Source organism: Homo sapiens, chromosome 4, assembly GCF_000001405.40.
Source record: "Homo sapiens chromosome 4, GRCh38.p14 Primary Assembly".
NCBI lineage: Eukaryota > Metazoa > Chordata > Mammalia > Primates > Hominidae > Homo > Homo sapiens.
In genome coordinates this window covers 134,931,163-134,948,094 of record NC_000004.12, presented here as the reverse complement: position 1 = coordinate 134,948,094, position 16,932 = coordinate 134,931,163, and the positions used below count along the sequence as shown (strand labels likewise).

General features: G+C 34.4%; 2 long non-coding RNA genes and 1 pseudogene across 4 annotated transcripts; 1 reads left to right on the top strand and 2 right to left on the bottom strand.

The window, feature by feature from the left end:
• Positions 1 to 1,075: 1,075 nt before the first annotated feature.
• LOC105377437 (uncharacterized) lies at positions 1,076 to 13,833 on the bottom strand. Of its 2 annotated transcripts, XR_939216.1 has the most exons (4): positions 13,440 to 13,833; positions 7,790 to 7,821; positions 1,503 to 1,543; positions 1,076 to 1,300 (listed from the first exon to the last, which is right to left on the bottom strand). It is a non-coding gene; the product is annotated as an uncharacterized LOC105377437 (long non-coding RNA). The 2 variants fall into 2 exon arrangements; XR_939215.2 differs by lacking the exon at positions 1,076 to 1,300 and having other exon boundaries at positions 1,449 to 1,543.
• On the bottom strand, positions 3,572 to 3,820 carry LOC107986237 (cytochrome b-c1 complex subunit 8-like; annotated as a pseudogene).
• Positions 3,808 to 15,384, top strand: LOC105377438 (uncharacterized). 2 transcript variants are annotated; one of them, NR_188430.1, is made up of 3 exons: positions 3,808 to 3,908; positions 7,784 to 7,848; positions 15,055 to 15,384. It is a non-coding gene; the product is annotated as an uncharacterized LOC105377438 (long non-coding RNA). The 2 variants fall into 2 exon arrangements; NR_188431.1 differs by lacking the exons at positions 3,808 to 3,908; positions 7,784 to 7,848 and adding an exon at positions 13,899 to 14,457.
• The last annotated feature ends 1,548 nt before the right edge of the window (positions 15,385 to 16,932 follow it).

Below are 16,932 nucleotides of genomic sequence, written 5' to 3'. Positions count from 1 at the left end.
CACTAGGCAAAGCCAGCTGGGCTCCTGAATCAGGTAGGGTCTTGGAGAACTTTTATGTCTAGCTGGAGGATTGTAAATGCACCAATCAGCACTCTGTGTCTAGCTCAGGGTTTGTGGATGCACCAGTCAGCACTCTGTATCTAGCTAATCTGGTGGGGACTTGGAGAACTTTTATGTCTAGTTAGAAGATTGTAAATGCACCAATCAGCACTCTGTGTCTAGCTAAAGGTTTGCAAATGCACCAATCAGTGTTCTGTGTCTAGCTAATCTAGTGGGGACTTGGAGAACTTTTATGTCTAGCTAGAGGATTGTAAATGCACCAATCAGCACTCTGTGTCTAGCTAAAGGTTTGTAAATGCACCAATCAGCACTCTGTGTCTTGCTAATCAGGTAGGGGACTTGGAGAACTTTTGTGTCTAGCTAAAGGATTGTAAATGCACCAATCAGCGCTCAGTGTCTAGCTAAAGGTTTGTAAATGCACCAATCAGCGCTCTGTCAAAATGGACCAATCAGCAGGATGTGGGTGGGGCCAGATAAGGGAGTAAAAGCAGGCCTCCTGATCCAGCAGTGGCAACCCACTCAGATCCGCTTTCATGCTGTGGAAGCTTTGTTCTTTTGCTGTTGCAATAAGTCTTGCTGCTTATCACTCTTTGGGTCCGTGCCTCCTTTATGAGCCGTAACACTCACCACAAAGGTCTGCAGCTTCACTCCTGAGGCCAGCAAGACCACAAACCCACTGGAAGGTACAAACAACTCCAGACACACCACTTTTAAGAGCTGTAACACTCACTACGAAGGTCTGCAGCTTCGCTTCTGAAGTCAGCAAGACCACGAACCCACCAGAAGGAAGAAACTCTGGACACATCTGAACATTTGAAGGAAAAAACTTGGGACACACCATCTTTAAGAACTGTAACACTCACTGCGAGGGTCCGCAGCTTCATTCTTGAAGTCAGCAAGACCAAGAACCCACCAATTCCGGACACACTATAACCTTGCTGTAACTGCTTAATATTTCCAGGAGTTTGTGGATTCTTTCAGATTTTCCATATAGTTGATCATATTATCTGTGAACAAAGACAGTTTTATATTTTCCTTTCCATTCTATGTACTTTATTGCATTAGGAAGGATTTGTAGTATGATGTGATAAAGAATGGCGGGAGGGGTTATCCTTTCATTGTTCTAGATTGCTGTGGTTTGAATGTCCCCTCCAAAACTCATGTTGAAACTTGGTCCACAGTATGGCAGTGTTGAGAAGTGGGGCCCTTAATAGGAGATTGGATCATGAGGGTTCTGCACCTATGAATGAATTAATACATTCATGAATTAATAGATAGATTACTGGATTAGTGGCTTGTAATGGGAGGGGAACTAGTGACTTTATAAGAAGAGGAAGAGAGAGCTGAGCTAGCACATTAGTATGCTAAGCCCTCTCACCATGTGATACTCTGTACCACCTGGAGATTCTGTAGAAAGTTCCCACCAGCAAGAAGACTTTCACCTGATGTAGTCCCTTGACATTGTACTTCTCAGCTTTCAGAACTGTAAGAAAGGAATTCCTTTTCTTATAAATTACACAAATTCAGGTATTCTATTCAAAATAACAGAAAATGGACTAAACATTGATATTACAGGTAAGCTTCAAGTTTCTCACCATTATGGATAGTGTTAGCTATAGATTATTTGTACATGTTATTTATCCAGTTGTGGGAGTTCCCCTCTATTCCTAGTTTGCTGAGAGTTTTTATCATGAATAGGTGTTAAATTTTCTCAAATGTTATTTCTGCATCTACTGATGTGATCATGTAGTTTTTTTTCTTTAGCCTGTTAATGTGTTGGATTATATAAATTGAATTTTGAATGTTGAACTAGTCATGCATACTTGAAATAAATCTCATGTGGTCATAATGTATAATTATTTTGATACTTTTTTGATTAATTTGTTAATATTTTGATGAGGATTTTGCCATCTATGTTTACAAGAGATGTTGGTTTTTAGATTTTTTTGGTAATATATTTGTCTGGTTTTGGTGTTAGGATGGTGTTGGTTACATAGCAATAGAATGAATTATGAAGTTTTCCTTCTGCTTCTATCTTCTGGAAAATATTTTATAATTTCTCACTTAAGTGTTTGGTAGAATTCACCAGTGAAATTATCTAGATCTCGTGATTTCTTTTTGGAATGTTATTAAGTGTTGACTTAATTTCTTTAATAGATATAGGCCTATTCAGATTGTCTGTTTCATCTTAGGTAGGTTTTAGCAGATTGTTTATTTCCAGAAATTAGGCCGTTTAATCTGTGTTATTAAATTGTGGGGCATGAAGTTGTTTGTAGTATTCCTTTATTACTTATTTAATGTCTATCAGATCTGCAGTAGTGGCACCATTTTCACTTTTGTTATTAATAATTTGTGTTTTCTCTCTTTTTTAAAAGTTAGCCTGTCTAGAGGCTTATCACTTGTACAGATTTTTTTTCAAAAAAAAAAAAAAACAATTTTTATTTTGTAGATTTTCTTTATTGATTTTCTATTTTTGCTTTAATTGATTTTGGCTCTGATTTTTTTCTTTTGCTTTATTTGAATTTAACTTGTTATTTTATTTTGTAGGTTCCTAAGGTGAACATGTAGATAATTTATTTTTTAAAATTTATTTTCTGGTACATGCTACAGTTTTCTTCTAACCACTGCTCACTGAATCTCATACATTTTGTTAGTTGTATTTAATTCAAAACATCTTAAATTTCTGTTGAAATTTCTTCTTCAATCATGTATCATTAAGGAGTATGTATTCTAATCAAGTATTTTGAGAGGTTTTTTCCAGCTATCTTTCTGTTGCTGGTTTCTAGTTTGATTGAGTCATAATCTGAGAGTAGACATTACATGATTTTTACTATTTTAAATTTGTTAAGTTGTCTTTTATGTCCAAAAATGTGGTCTATTTTGGTGGCAATTTCATGTAAGCTTGAGAAGAATGTGTATTCTGCATTGTTGAATGAATTATTCTGTAGATATTCATTATATCCTGTTAACTGATGGTGGTGTTGAGTTAAAGTATGTCCTTACTAATTTTCTGCCTGCTGGATCTATCCATTTTTGATAGAGAAGTGATGATGTCTCCAACTATAGTAATTGATTCATTTATTTCTCCTTGCAGTCCTATCAGCTTTTGCTTCATGTATTTTGGCATTCTGTGAGATGCATATACCTTAAGAATTGCTATCTTCTTGGAGAGTCAATCTTTTATCATTTTGTAATGCCTCTTTTTATCCCTGATAATTATCCTAGCTCTGAAGTGTGTTTTGTGTGACATTATTATAGTGGATAGAGATACTTGATTTTTTATCTGTGTTAGTATGGCATATTTTCACCATCCCTTCACTTTCAATCTATATGTGTCTTCATATTTAGAGTTGATTTTCTTTTTTTCTTTTTTCTTTTTCTTTTTCTTTTCTTTCTCTTTTTATTTTGCAGAACATAGGAAGTTTATTGTGTCGTTAAGACACTACAATGCAGACTCCTCTTCCAGAGAAAGCTCTTCCAGGGACAGGGAACCATCATCCGGATGTGTTGCTCATTTGTCATTTTCATGGGCAGCTGGATTCTTCCCCTTGGATCTCTCAAACTCTTGAGTCCCCCATGTATAGATAAGATAAAACACTACAAACGGCGGCATTACGCGAAGGAAAGACTGCCGAGTGCGGCGCAGCACGTTGGGGATTCCTTTACGGAAGTAGTACGGGGAGGCACGCTGCTCAAAAGGTGACAAGCTGTAGGAGATCACATGTTGCATCTACGTCCGATTCCCAAACTCGCTGCCCATCATGGCGGCGGCCGGGGTCACCTAGCCCTCCGCAGTCACCGATCCGGCGGACTCATTCCTAAAGTTGATTTCTTATAAACAACACATAGTTGAGTCTTGTTTTTTAATTCACCCTGACAATTGCTGTCTTTTAAATTAGTATTATTAGACAATTGATATGTAAAGTACTCACTGATATAGTCACATTAATGTCTATCATGTTTGTCACTGTTTTCTATTTGATGCCCTTGCTCTTTGTTCCTATTTTGTCTTCCCCTCTTTTTCTGCTTTTTGTAGGTTCAATTAAGCATTTTATATGATTCCATTTTCTCTCTTCTTACTGTATCAACTATACTTATTTTTATTTTTATTTTTTTAGTGGTTGCTTTGAAATGCAATTTCAGAAGTAGTGCAAGTACCTTATAATAACAACATACTTCTAATTCCTCCCTCTAATCACACGTAGCATTGTTACCATTCATTTCACTTATACAAAAGCTGTAATCATCAATTACATTATTGTTATTTTTATTTTGAACAAACCATTATCTATTAGATAGGAATAAGAAAACTAAAACTTACAATCTTACTTTCATTTATTCCTTCTCTAATATTATTTCTTCATGCAGTTCCAAGTCTCTGGCCTACATTACTTTTTTTCTCTCTAAAAAACTTCTAACATTTCTTGCAAGGTAGGTCTATTAGCAACAAACCCTGCAATTTTCACCAGTCTGAGAAAGTCTTTAGTTTTCCCTCACTTTTGCATTGTAATTTTACAGGCGAAAGAATTCAAGGTGATGTGGTTTGTGTGTGTGTATGTCTTGCTTTATTTTCTTTTGCCAATACTTTTAATATTTCACTCTACTCTCTTCTTGCTTATATTTTTTTTGAGAAGTTGGATTAATTCTTATATTTTCTACTTTATAGGAGAGGTATTTTTTCTCACTGGATTAACTCAACATTTGATCTTTATCTTTGATTTTCTGCAGTTTAAATATGATATTCCTGGGTGTAGTTTTTTATATTGATACTACTTGGTGTTCTCTGAGCTTCCTGTATGTGTGGATTGGTGTTTGATATTCATTTAGGGAAGTTCTAAGTCATTTTACTACTTCTATTTGTTTTATTTCTTTCTCTCTTTGTTCTCCTTTTATTTTAATTATGTAGATATTACAGCTTTTGTAGTTGTCCCACAGTTCTTGGATATTCTGTTGCATTTTTCTGGTGTGTTTTTCTCCTTGTTTTTTGGTTTGGGACGTTTCTATTGACATATCCTTAAGCTCAGAGATTCTTTCCATAGGCTTGTCCAGTCTACTAATGATCCTCTCAAAGCCATTCTTTATTTTTGTTTCAGTTTTTTATGGTAAGCATTTATTTTCTATGTATTCTTATAATTTCAATTTCTCTGCTTTCATTGTTCATCTGTTCTTTAATGTTGTGTATTTTTTTTCATTACAGCCCTTAGCATATTAACCAAATATGGTTTATATTCATGGTCTGATAATGTCAACATTTCTGTCATAACTGAATCTGATAAATTCAATATTTATGCCACCCCATTGCTCTGTTTCTCAAGTATGCCTTATAATGGTTTTTATTGTTGTTGTTAAACAGCAGATGTGATGCACTGGTAAAGGAAAATGTGGAAAATAGAGTTTTATAACATCATGGTAGAGGGAGCGGAAGCTTTCCGCAGCCCCATGTTTAGATTTTACTCTTTTAGTGAGCCTCTGCTCCTGTGGTGTGAATTTCACAAATGCATCTCAATTTTTTTCTTTCTGCTCTTTATGTGATATAGGATGGTTAGTGGAGGATGGAGTTAGGTACCTCCTTTCCCCCAGATAAGTTAGGCTCTGCTAAAACCCCAGTAGGTTAGGCTCTGGCAAAATAGTTTTTCTCAAGATAAGGTCTTAAGAATAATGGAATGCTGTGGTGTATTTTAAAATTGTTACTTTTCCTTCCCCTGCGAGAAGCCCAAAGAAATTTTTCTCTAATGTTCATCTTGAGAACTTCGTAGAGCTAAAGATAAAACTCAAAAAAATGCAAAAGCCTCACTAAGACTGGGTCCCCTGGAGTTTTTTTTATTTTTTATTTTTATTTTTCATCTTAGACTTGTCTACACTAAGCCTCCAGCATTAATGACAATTCAAGCTTTCCTACCCTGGTACTGGCTCCAACAGGAGTACGTTTCTGCTCTGTTAAGTTGAATTCTCTGTAGCTGCCTCTCTACAAACTCCACAGCAGTTTGTTCTGTGACCTCAGGTCTCTAGTCAATCTAAGAAGAGCAGTTTAGTTTTCAATTTGATCAGATTTTTACTTGTGGTTAGGATGCAGTGATGGCTTCAAAGTTCCTTACATGTTGGATTAGAAACCAGAAGTTCTTGACATGCAGTTTAATTTAAATCTTGCCTCATTCCTACTCCACGCTACTCACCATATCTATTTAGTCCACATCAAAGTTTTTACTCTTCCTCCCTTGATAACAACAGAATATTCCACTCTCCCCACTTTTAGTGCTTGCTGACCTCCCTGCTAGACCTTTACCTCATAATACTCACTCATTCTTGGAGACTTAGAGCTATGTTCCTTTCTCTGGAAAAGTATGCTGTTCGCCCCCCCCGGCCATTACCTAAGAGACTCTTTCATCAGTGTTATCTCACTAAAGTTAGAATCAATGTTTTTATTAATTTGTTTGAAATGTCTATTTAATCGCTTATTCAAATGTATTTGCACCCTATTAGAATAATGATTCAATGTATTTCTTGCTATTGTTTGTCTTTTAAAGCAATTTTTTTTTCACAGTGCCTGGTAGAAACACTAAATTAAATCTTCTTAAAGGTATAAAAAAAGTTACCTAATGTATCCTTCTTTCAAATTAATAAGAAGGAAAGAAAAAGCATTTAGGAAAAAGAATCAAGCACTATCTTATGTTCCCCTTGTTTTCTAAAAGGATTTGCATTTAAAATATGCATGTTTGGGGACAGAGTGAATTAATATTGAGCTTTCTCAGTGTGACTATTCAAATAAAACAACTCGGTCCTTAACTTTGTGCATACCAGGGTACCAATTAATTGGCTTTGATCTATAAAATCTTTTGCATTTTTTTTTTAATTTAATGGTTTAGAAAAGAAGAAAAGCTAACAGCCATGACAGCTTAATGAGATTGGTTGGTATATGGCTACCAACCAATTGGGGAGTTAGAATATTAAAAATATATGTTCCTTTTTGGAAAAACATTTGAAAGAATGTATGTTCTTGATAATACAAACTTTGATCCAATGCATTGTTAAAGATGAAAGCAGCTTTTGTTCTCCCACACCTAGAGATTGTCAGAGTTAAAGATGATGATCAGTTTTTTGGGGGTGCTATAACCAGAGGTAATTACTTTTGTCTTGATCACGACACACTATATGTATTGAAACATCACTTTGTATCCCATAAATATATACAAGTATTATATATCAATTTTAAAAATTAATTTTCTAAAATTATTTATTTTAAATTGAGACATAAAATTGAATGTATTTATCATATGTAACGTGATGTTTTGAAGTACCTACACATTTTGGAATGGTTAAGTGTAGCTAATTAAAATATGCATTTCCTCACAGTTATTTTTATGGTGAGAACATTTAACATTCATTCTTAGCATTGTTTAAGAATGTAATCCATCATTATTAAGTATAGTCACTATGCTGAAAAACAGATTTCGTGAACTTATAACTCCTATATAACTATAATTTTATATATTTTGACCAATGTCTCCCCAGTCCTCTTCACAGCCACCCCAACCTCTGGTAACCACCATTTTATTCTCTACTTTTATGAGATCAACTTTTTTAGATTCTGCATGCATGAGCTTATATAGTATTTGTCTTTCTCTCTGGCTTATTTCACTTAGCATAATGTCCTCCATGTTGTCATGAATGACAGATTATTCTTCTTTTTCATGGCCGAATAGTGTTTCGTTGTGTGTACATACAGGCATACCTTGAAGATATTGTGGGTCCAGCTCCAGAACCCTGCAATAAAGTGAATATCACAATAAAGTGAGTCACACAAATTTTTTGACTTCCCAGGATATGTAAAAGTTTTGCTTACTGTATACAATAGTCTATCAAGTGTGCAATAGAATTATGTTTAAAAAACAATGTGTAAACCTTAATTAAAAATACTTCATTGCTAAATAATGGTAATGATTCTCTGAGCCTTCAGTAGGTTATAATTTTTTTCTAGCGGAGGATTTTGCATTGATGTTGATGGCTGCTAATGATTAGGGTGGTGGTTGCTGAAGACTGGAGTGACTGTGGCAGTTTTTTAAAATAAGAAATAATTTAACAGCTGCATTAGCTCCTAACAAGAGACTCAGCTTGTTCTTTGAAGCTTTAAAGCCAGACATTGGCTTTTCACTAGCTTTGAAAGTCCTAGATAGTATCTTCTTCCAATAGAAGCCTGTTTCATCTACATTGAAAATGTATTATTTAGTGTAACTATCTTCATCAATTATTTCAGCTAGATCTTCTGGATAATTTGCTGTTTTACCTTGAGCTTTCTTTCCTTAAACCTCAAGAACCAACATTTGATAGTTTCAAACTTTCTTCTGCAGCTTCCTTACCTCTCTCAGCCTTCAGAGAATTGAAGAGAGCTAGGGTCATGCTCTGAATTAGGATTTGACTTAAAGGAATGCTGTGGCTGGTTTGATTTCTGTTCAGACCATTAAAACTTTCTCCATATCATATCAATAATGAGACTGTTTCACTTTCTTATTATTCATGTATTCACTGGAGTGACACTTTTAGTTTTTTTAAGGAACTTTTCCTTTGCATTCACAATTTGGTTGTTTGGTACAATAAGCCTAGCTTACAGGCTATCTCAGTCTTTGACATGCCTTCTTCACTAAACTTAATCATTTCTGGCTTTGATTTAAAGTGAGGGACATGCAACCCTCCTTACTTGAAAACTTAGAGGCCATTGTAAGGTTATTAATTGGCCTAGTGTCAATATTGTTGTGTCTCAGGGAAGAGGGAGGCCTAAGGAGAGGAAGAGAGAAGGGGAAATGGCTGGTCAGTGAAGCTATCAAATACAGACAATATTTATCAATTAAGTTCACTGTCTTACATGGGTGTTTGAGGTTTGTGGTGCCCCCAAACAATTATTACAGTGACATAAAGCATCAGTGATCCAAGATTACCATAACAGATATAAAATCGTGAAAAAAGTTTGAAATATTGTGAGAATTACCGAAGTGTGACAGAGAGACACGAAGTGATACTATACTATTGGAAATGTAGCACTAATACACTAGCTTGATGCAATGTTACCGCAAACCTTCTTAAAAATCTAAAATCTGTAAAGCATAATTAAGTAAAGTGCAATGAAACAAGATATGTCTATGTCATATTTTTTAATTAATTCATTCATTCATTGATGGACACAGGTTGATTCTGTATCTTGGCTATTGTGAATAATGCTTCAATCAACATATGGGGGCAGATATGCTTTTGACATACTGACTTGCTTTCCTTTAGGTATACACTGAGTAATGGGATTGCTGGGTTACATGGTAATTCTATTTTTAAGTTTAGAGGAACCTCCGTAACTGTTTTCCATAATGAGTATACTAATTTACATTTCCACCAACAGTGTGCAAGCATTTCCTTTACTTTACATCCACGCTATCATTGTAATCTTTTGTCTTTGTTGTAATAGCCATCCTCACAGAAGTGAGGTAATATGTCATCACAGTATAATTTGCATTTCCCTAATAATTAGTGATGTTAAGGATTTTTTTTCATATATCTGTTGTTCATTTGTATATTTTCTTTGGAGAGATGTCTATTTAAGTCCTCTGCCCATTTTTTAGTTGGGTTATTTGTATTCTTGCCATTGAATAGTTTGAATTCTTTATAAATTTTAGGTATTATCCCATTATCAGATGCATAGCTCGCAAATATTTTCTTCCTCAAGAAAATGTTTTCAAACCTCAAGAGTGTTTCCTCACTCTTGATATTTTCTGTTGCTGTGCAGAACATTTTTAGTTTGATGTAATCCCATTTGTCTATAGTTGTTTTTGTTGCCTGCAATTTGAAGTTATATCCAAAAAAAAGTTGTCAAGACCAATTTCATGAAGCTTTTCCTCTGTGTTTTATTCTAGTAATTTCATAGTTTCGAGTCTTACATTTAAGTCTTCAATGCATTTTGAGTTAATTTTTGTATTTTTTCGTGAAATAAGGGCCTAATTTCACTCTTCTGCATGCAGGCATCCCGTTTCCCACCACCATTTGTTGAAAAGACTGTCCTGTCCCCATTGTGTGTGCTTAGCACTTTGATAAAAAATCAGATGGCTATTAAGGTGTGGATTTTCTGGGCTCTCTATTCTGTTTCATTGGTCTATGTGTCTTGTTTTATGCTAGTATTACACTTTTTTGTTTGCTATATTGTAGTATATTTTGAAGTCAGGTAATGCAACGCCTTCAGCTTTGTTCTCCTTGTTCAACATTGCTTTAGCTATTCAGAGACTTTTGTGGTTCTAAACAAATTTTAGGATTATTTTTTCTATTTCTGTAAAGAATGACAGTAATATTTTGACAGGGATAGCATTGAACCTGTGTATCACTTTAGGTGGTATGGACATTTTAACAAGTTTAATTCTTCCAAACCATATATATGGGATATCTTTACATTTATTTGTGTCTTGTTTAGTTTCTTTAACCACTGTTCTATAGTTTTCAGTGTAGAGATTTTTCACCTCCTCGTTTAAATTTATTTCTAATTATTATATCTTTTTTTAGCCATAGTAAATGAAACTGTTTTCTTGATTGCTTTTTCATATTGCTCACCATTAGTGTATGAAATGCTACTGATTTTTTGTATTGATTTTGTATTCTGTAAGTTTACTGATTTCATTTATTAGTTTTAACAGTTTTTTGGTGGAGTCTTTAGGATTTTTATATCTAAGATTTTGTTATCTACAAACAGGGACAGTTTACCTTTTTTTCGCAATTTGGATGTCTTTTCTTTCTTCCTCTTGCCTAATTGCTATAGCTAGAACTTCCAGTACTGGGTTAAATAGAAGTGGCTAGCTTGGCCATTGTTGTCTTGTTCTCAATCTTAGATGGAAAGCTTTCAATTTTTCTCCATTGAGTATGGTGTTAGCTGTGGGTTTGTCATATACAGTCCTTATTATATTGAGATGCATCTCTTCTGTAATTAATTTGCTAAGAGGTTTTTTTAATTATGAAAGGATGTGACATTTTGTATAATGCTGTTTCTACACCTATTGAAATAATCATATGGTGTTTCTTCTTTATTATGTTAATGTGATGTATGAGATTAGTTGACTTGCGTATGGAGTCATCCTTGCATCCTTGGAATGAATCCCACCTTATCATGGTAAATGATCTTTTAAATATTCCATAATATTTGGTCGGAAAATATTTTGTTGAAGATTTTTGCACTTAAGTTCACCAGGGATATTGGCCTATAGTTTTCTTCTTTTGTAGTGTCCATGTCTGAGTTTGGTGTCAGGATAATACTGGCCTTGTAAAATAAATGTGGAAATATTCCCTCCTCTCTAATTTTTTGGAAAAGTTTGAGAAGAATTAGTATTAGTTCTTCTTTAAATGTCTGGTAGAATTCAAAAGTGAAGTTATCATGTCCTGAGAATTTCTCTGATGAGAGACTTTTTATTACTAATTATAATCTCCTTATTCATTATTGGTCTGTTCAGATTTTCTATTTCTGCATAATTCAATGTTGGTAGATTATATACGTCAAAAAATTTATCCATTTCTTCTAGGTTATCCAATTTGTTGGCATATATTTATTCATAATAGTTTCTTGTAATCCTTTGTATTTCTGTGGTATCAGTTGGAGTGTCACCCTTTTAATTTCTGATTTTATTTGAGTCTTTATTTTGAGTTTATTTAGATGAGGGGCTTATCTTGGGCCTGTTTCATAAGTGCACTTATTCCATTCATGTGGGCTCCCTTTCTATGACCTAATCACCCCCGCGCCCCAAAGCCTTCATGTCCTAAAACTATCACCATGGGAGTTAGGATTTTAACATATGAATGCAGGGCTCGGGGGTAGGGGGAGACACACATTCACACCATAGCAATGCCCAGGTCTTAATCCCCAGACCCTGTGAATATGTTCAGGTCCTGGCATGATGAGCTTAAGTTGCTAGTCACCTGATTGTTTTTAAAAAAAGGCATTAACCTGAATTATCAGAATAGAAGCAATGTAATCACAAGGGTCCTTAAAATGGTAGTAGTATGTGGAGGAGAGAATAAGAAGGAGACATATGAGAGAAAAATACAGAGAAATGCAAATTTGGTGGTTTTAAACATGGAGGAAATAGTCCATGACCTAAGGAATGTGGACATTCTCCAGAAGCTAAAAAGGCAGAGAAACATTCTCCCTAAGAGCTACCAGAAAGAAGTAAAAACCCTTCTGAGACCTTGATTCTATCCCAGAATGACACATGTCAGACAACCGACCTGCTGAACTGTAAAATAATGAATTTGCATTCTTTTAGGCCACTAAAAGTGTTGTGATTTCTTGCAGTAGCAATGGGAAAGTAATATAAATTAATCTAATTGTTCATTCTGTTTGCTTTTAAAATGAAACAAATATTCACAGGGCACCTTGAGCTAAGTTCTTGAGGTGATATCACTATTTACATATTTGCATAGGATAGCATTTATCTAAGATATAGTAAGGGATATTCCAAATAAATTGTTGTTACAATAGAAATGGGTATCCAGGTTGGGCCAGAAGGGGGTGCTCATGTATAGAGCAACACTGCCACTGCCTCATCCATCATCAGACTGAGAGTAGGGCGCAATTTATTGGATTATCAATCCTGTGAATACATGCACATTCGATGAAAAATCCAGAACCTATGACTGAAACTGTGACAATCAGAAGACTCAATATTTTGTATTTATTCTGGGCTATTTATTCCATATATGAATAAGTAATTTTTGAAGAAAAACAACTTCAAGTAAACATTCATTTCTTGCTCTGAAAATATGAACAATATAGTTCATAGTATTTAACATAGTGTCTACATTTCTATTATACAAAGTTTTGAGGTAGAAGACAAAAATGTATTTCTTTGCTACAAAGTTTGGGTAGAATTATCGATATTTACGGTGTGATTATACATCATAGAAATATTTTATTATCGTTACCAGAATTGGTTGTCAAATAAGTTGGCCACCTTGGTGATGTCCTCTTTATTTTATGATCATGTAGTCATGACTTAAAACATTTTGAACTTTTGTGTTGGACTTGCTTTAAACAATAATTGATGAATATTCCCAGAATATTAGGCTTACTGATTTTTATTTATATCTGCGGCTCTATCTTGCTGCTATCTTCAGTTTTATATTTACTCATTATGGTAGTGGCTTGGCTTTAATATCACGTTGTTGATGGAACTTTTATTTCAAAAATTAAATATACGTACATTAAAATCTTGCCCTGATTGAGGATGTTTAAATCATCAATAAATAGTGGTTGCATGAAGCAATACAAACAGAAAATTTTCATTCACACACCCATATACACACCCAAAGGTGAAGAATTCTGCTATACATGGAATAAATGCCATTCTTCCCTGCCAGAAGCTTACCTTCATGCCTGCCACTGTCTCCGTATACTATACGTGTGAGGCTGCGTAAACCACATCAAAGGCCTAAATCTAAAGCAGCCCCAGGGTGAAGTAAATGAATGGGTTTGTTTGTCTCTTGTTTTTGTCACTGATTTAACATTGTTCGGTGATTCCCGTAAAATAAGAAATATCTTTGTTTCTTATAACCGATTCTCTGAGTTACACCCATGTTTTAGTAATCCATTATTGATTTCTCTCCCATTTTAGTTTGTCCATCTTGTCCCATAGTCAATCATTCTATTTGTCTGGGGCAAAGTTGTTGCCTTTTTAAAACGTGGTCCTCCTACTTAATGAAGCCTTGTCCTTTCGTTGTCACCCATTCATATAGGTTTACGTAACCCACAGCTACAAGACGCTTTCAATACTTTATCATCATTCTGGAAAATTCCTGGTAGCCTAGGAACCTGGAACCTAGTAACCTTTGATGTTGATTGCATGCTGCTCTAGCCTACCTTGTATTCTCTGTTGCTAAGATCTTCCCTTCCAAAAAGAACAGATTTATTGAATAGATCCATCCAAGTTTCAGATTGGCTTCTCTCTAAATTGAATCCCAAAGTTACTATTTATTAGATAATTCAGCATTTATTGGTTGTGTTTATACTTCTTAAACAACAAAGCATGCACAAATATTATCTGTAGCTATTTAAAATAGATGATATGGAGGCTAAGTAGAAATGGGCTATTTATAGATAACAGAGCTATTTGCAAAGAATTGTATCAGCTTCTTGAAAATCATCAGGGCGTTGTCTAATATTTAGATAAGCAGAAAAACAAGTGAATGCTCAATCAAATCTAGTTTTGTTATGTGTCAGGCACCGGGAATCTTTTTTAATGAATTAATAATTCTTAGAATATCTCCTACATCCATACTAATAGGCTGCATTTTTTCATTTGTCCTGCTTATCACAAGTGTGGCTAACTTCATATTTGTTTCAATGATGGAATTCTTTCAGAGTGTTTTGGCCTTTTAGTCAATTTGGTATGCTTTTTACTGTTTTGCCACAGTTAGAAAGGATTGATCAGTTACTATATAAGTCTCCTACATACTAGAAGGCTACTTTATATATCTGGGTCAAGACACTTCATAAATAGCTGAACACATGTTTTATTGGTTTAATATTGCAGGTGGTTATATCACTTTCATAGAAGAGCTTTTACTTTCTTTAATTTCAATGCAGAATCTGGCAAGTGAACTGATAATCAATCACATTTGTTCTGTGCTTTTTAAAAGCTTAAATGCTTCACTGTGAAAAGCTGCTACTGAGAAGACAGTGGGGTTTCAGAAGGATTTTTATTAGACAGGCCCTATGCTAGCTTAAAAATGATTTAATTTTCAATGTGCATATAGCACAGATATTACCATTGCAGAAGAACTTATGGGGTATAAAATATCAATTTACATTTTTTCAAGATCCAATCATTTTAAATAGATGTTGTGTCTGTGGGCAATTTCACATGGGAGATAGGAAATGGAATGATAAAACAACAAGCAGGTGCAGCAAGTGAATTCATCTTTACTGGATATCTGAAATCATGAAATTCAAGTAGCATTTACTGTTCTCTTTTATTTCTACAGCTGCAAGTTGTAATGGAAAGCGCACCTCTCTGGAACTCGGGAGTCTTGGATCCTACACATGGTTCTATGCATAAATAGAAATGAAATTAGCTTCCTGGATACTAAGCTAGTATTAATCAGGTGATTCTAATTAAAATCACTCTGCTAGCTAAACACTATTCAGCAAGATTTTGGTTACCCCAAGAACATTCTGAGACAATTGTATCTATAATTGATAAGACTTGACAATAATCTTTCTTCCTGAAGTGTGTTGTTAACTTTTTGGTTGACTCTTAGCAAAGTACATAGCATATAGTAGGCATTCAATAAATGTTCATTCATTTTTTGCATATTTTCAAATGTTATTTTTTGCCATCCATGTTTGTTTTAAGGGGTGGGCAGTTAATCTACGTTGCCATTCATGAATTTCTTCTCAAATATCTCCTGCCTCTTTTATTTCTCCATGGAGTGAAGGATGAGAGGTATGATGTGTAGGGGGTGTTTCTTAGCTGTGTTTCAACAAGCTCATTATTATGATACTGAGACATAATTAAGATTGATAATATTTACTTAATGTTAATTTTCCTATAAGAATTGCAAGTGAAACATTATCTTATTTTAAGCCTCAAAATAGCTTTGGGATATAGATACTATTATTACTATAAATGAGGAACTGAACTGAGAGGGTCTAAGTGGTTTCATCAAGTTCACACAGTCAGTAATTGGTGGAACCTAGATTCAAATGATTGTTTTTGTCCATCTCCAATGTATTTTAATGCAAGCACTTCAGTAATGAATTATAAATTAGAACTGGCAAGACTCATTTTCACTCTCAAGATTTTTATAAACCCAATAGAATTACTCCTCAATAAAAATGTGTTAATCTTTGAAAGAAGATTTATTTTGATAAAAAGCCAAAATATCAGTTAATTGTATCTATTAAATATATAAGCTATTTTATGAACTTGCTAATTGAATCTAAGTTCGCATTTATGTCTCTACTTAACATCTGGAAAAGATACCTGTCTCTCTTAGGCATATAAAGAAATTTGAAATACTGAAATTATCTGCTTATAGAAACACTGAATCATTTACTGACAACTTCCCACATTAGCAATGTAAGATTTAAAACACCTGAAAAAGTTGTTAAAAAAAATGATCTCTGAAGATTTAGATATATGTTCGATGAGTCATATGTCAGAAATGAGTTGATTATTCATTTATTGACTCTCTTCCTACTGAGATATATGCAGATACACAAAACAGACTGTTAAAAACAGGCAAGCAGACAAACACATAGAAAACCAAATCATTAAAGTTATGATCCATTAATTACACTTCACATCAAACAGATATATTATTTTCAGAATGCTTAGGACTGAGTGTTCTTGAAGAATAAAACGTTTCAGACTAAAGAATTGAAAGCAACAGAGCTAGATGACATAAGGCTAAACTGTGGGGAATTTTTAAATGTTACAGGAGAAGTTATTTAGAAGCAGAACTGGGCACAAGCAACACTAACTACATAGTTCTCAACACTGCCTGTGTGTTGCAGTCACTTTGGGAGCCTTTAAAAATAGGGATGCTAAGACTCTACCCTTAAAAATGTCAATTTTCTTGGCTTGGTTCCAGATCATTTAAAATTGTTACCATCTAGTTGATTCAAATGTTCAGCCAAAGTCAAAAACGATTTCATTTATATATGGCTTCATTAAAAACAATCCCCAAATTTATTGACCTAAGAATAATTTATTCCTTTTCAAATAAGTTCACCTCATAGCTGTTCTGCTCTACTTGGTATTGGCTGAAGTCACCCACTTGGTTGAATTCAGCAGGCAGAATAGGCTGAGCTGGAGGGTCCAAGAAGGCTTCACGCTCATAGCTGGGTCTCGAGGGCTT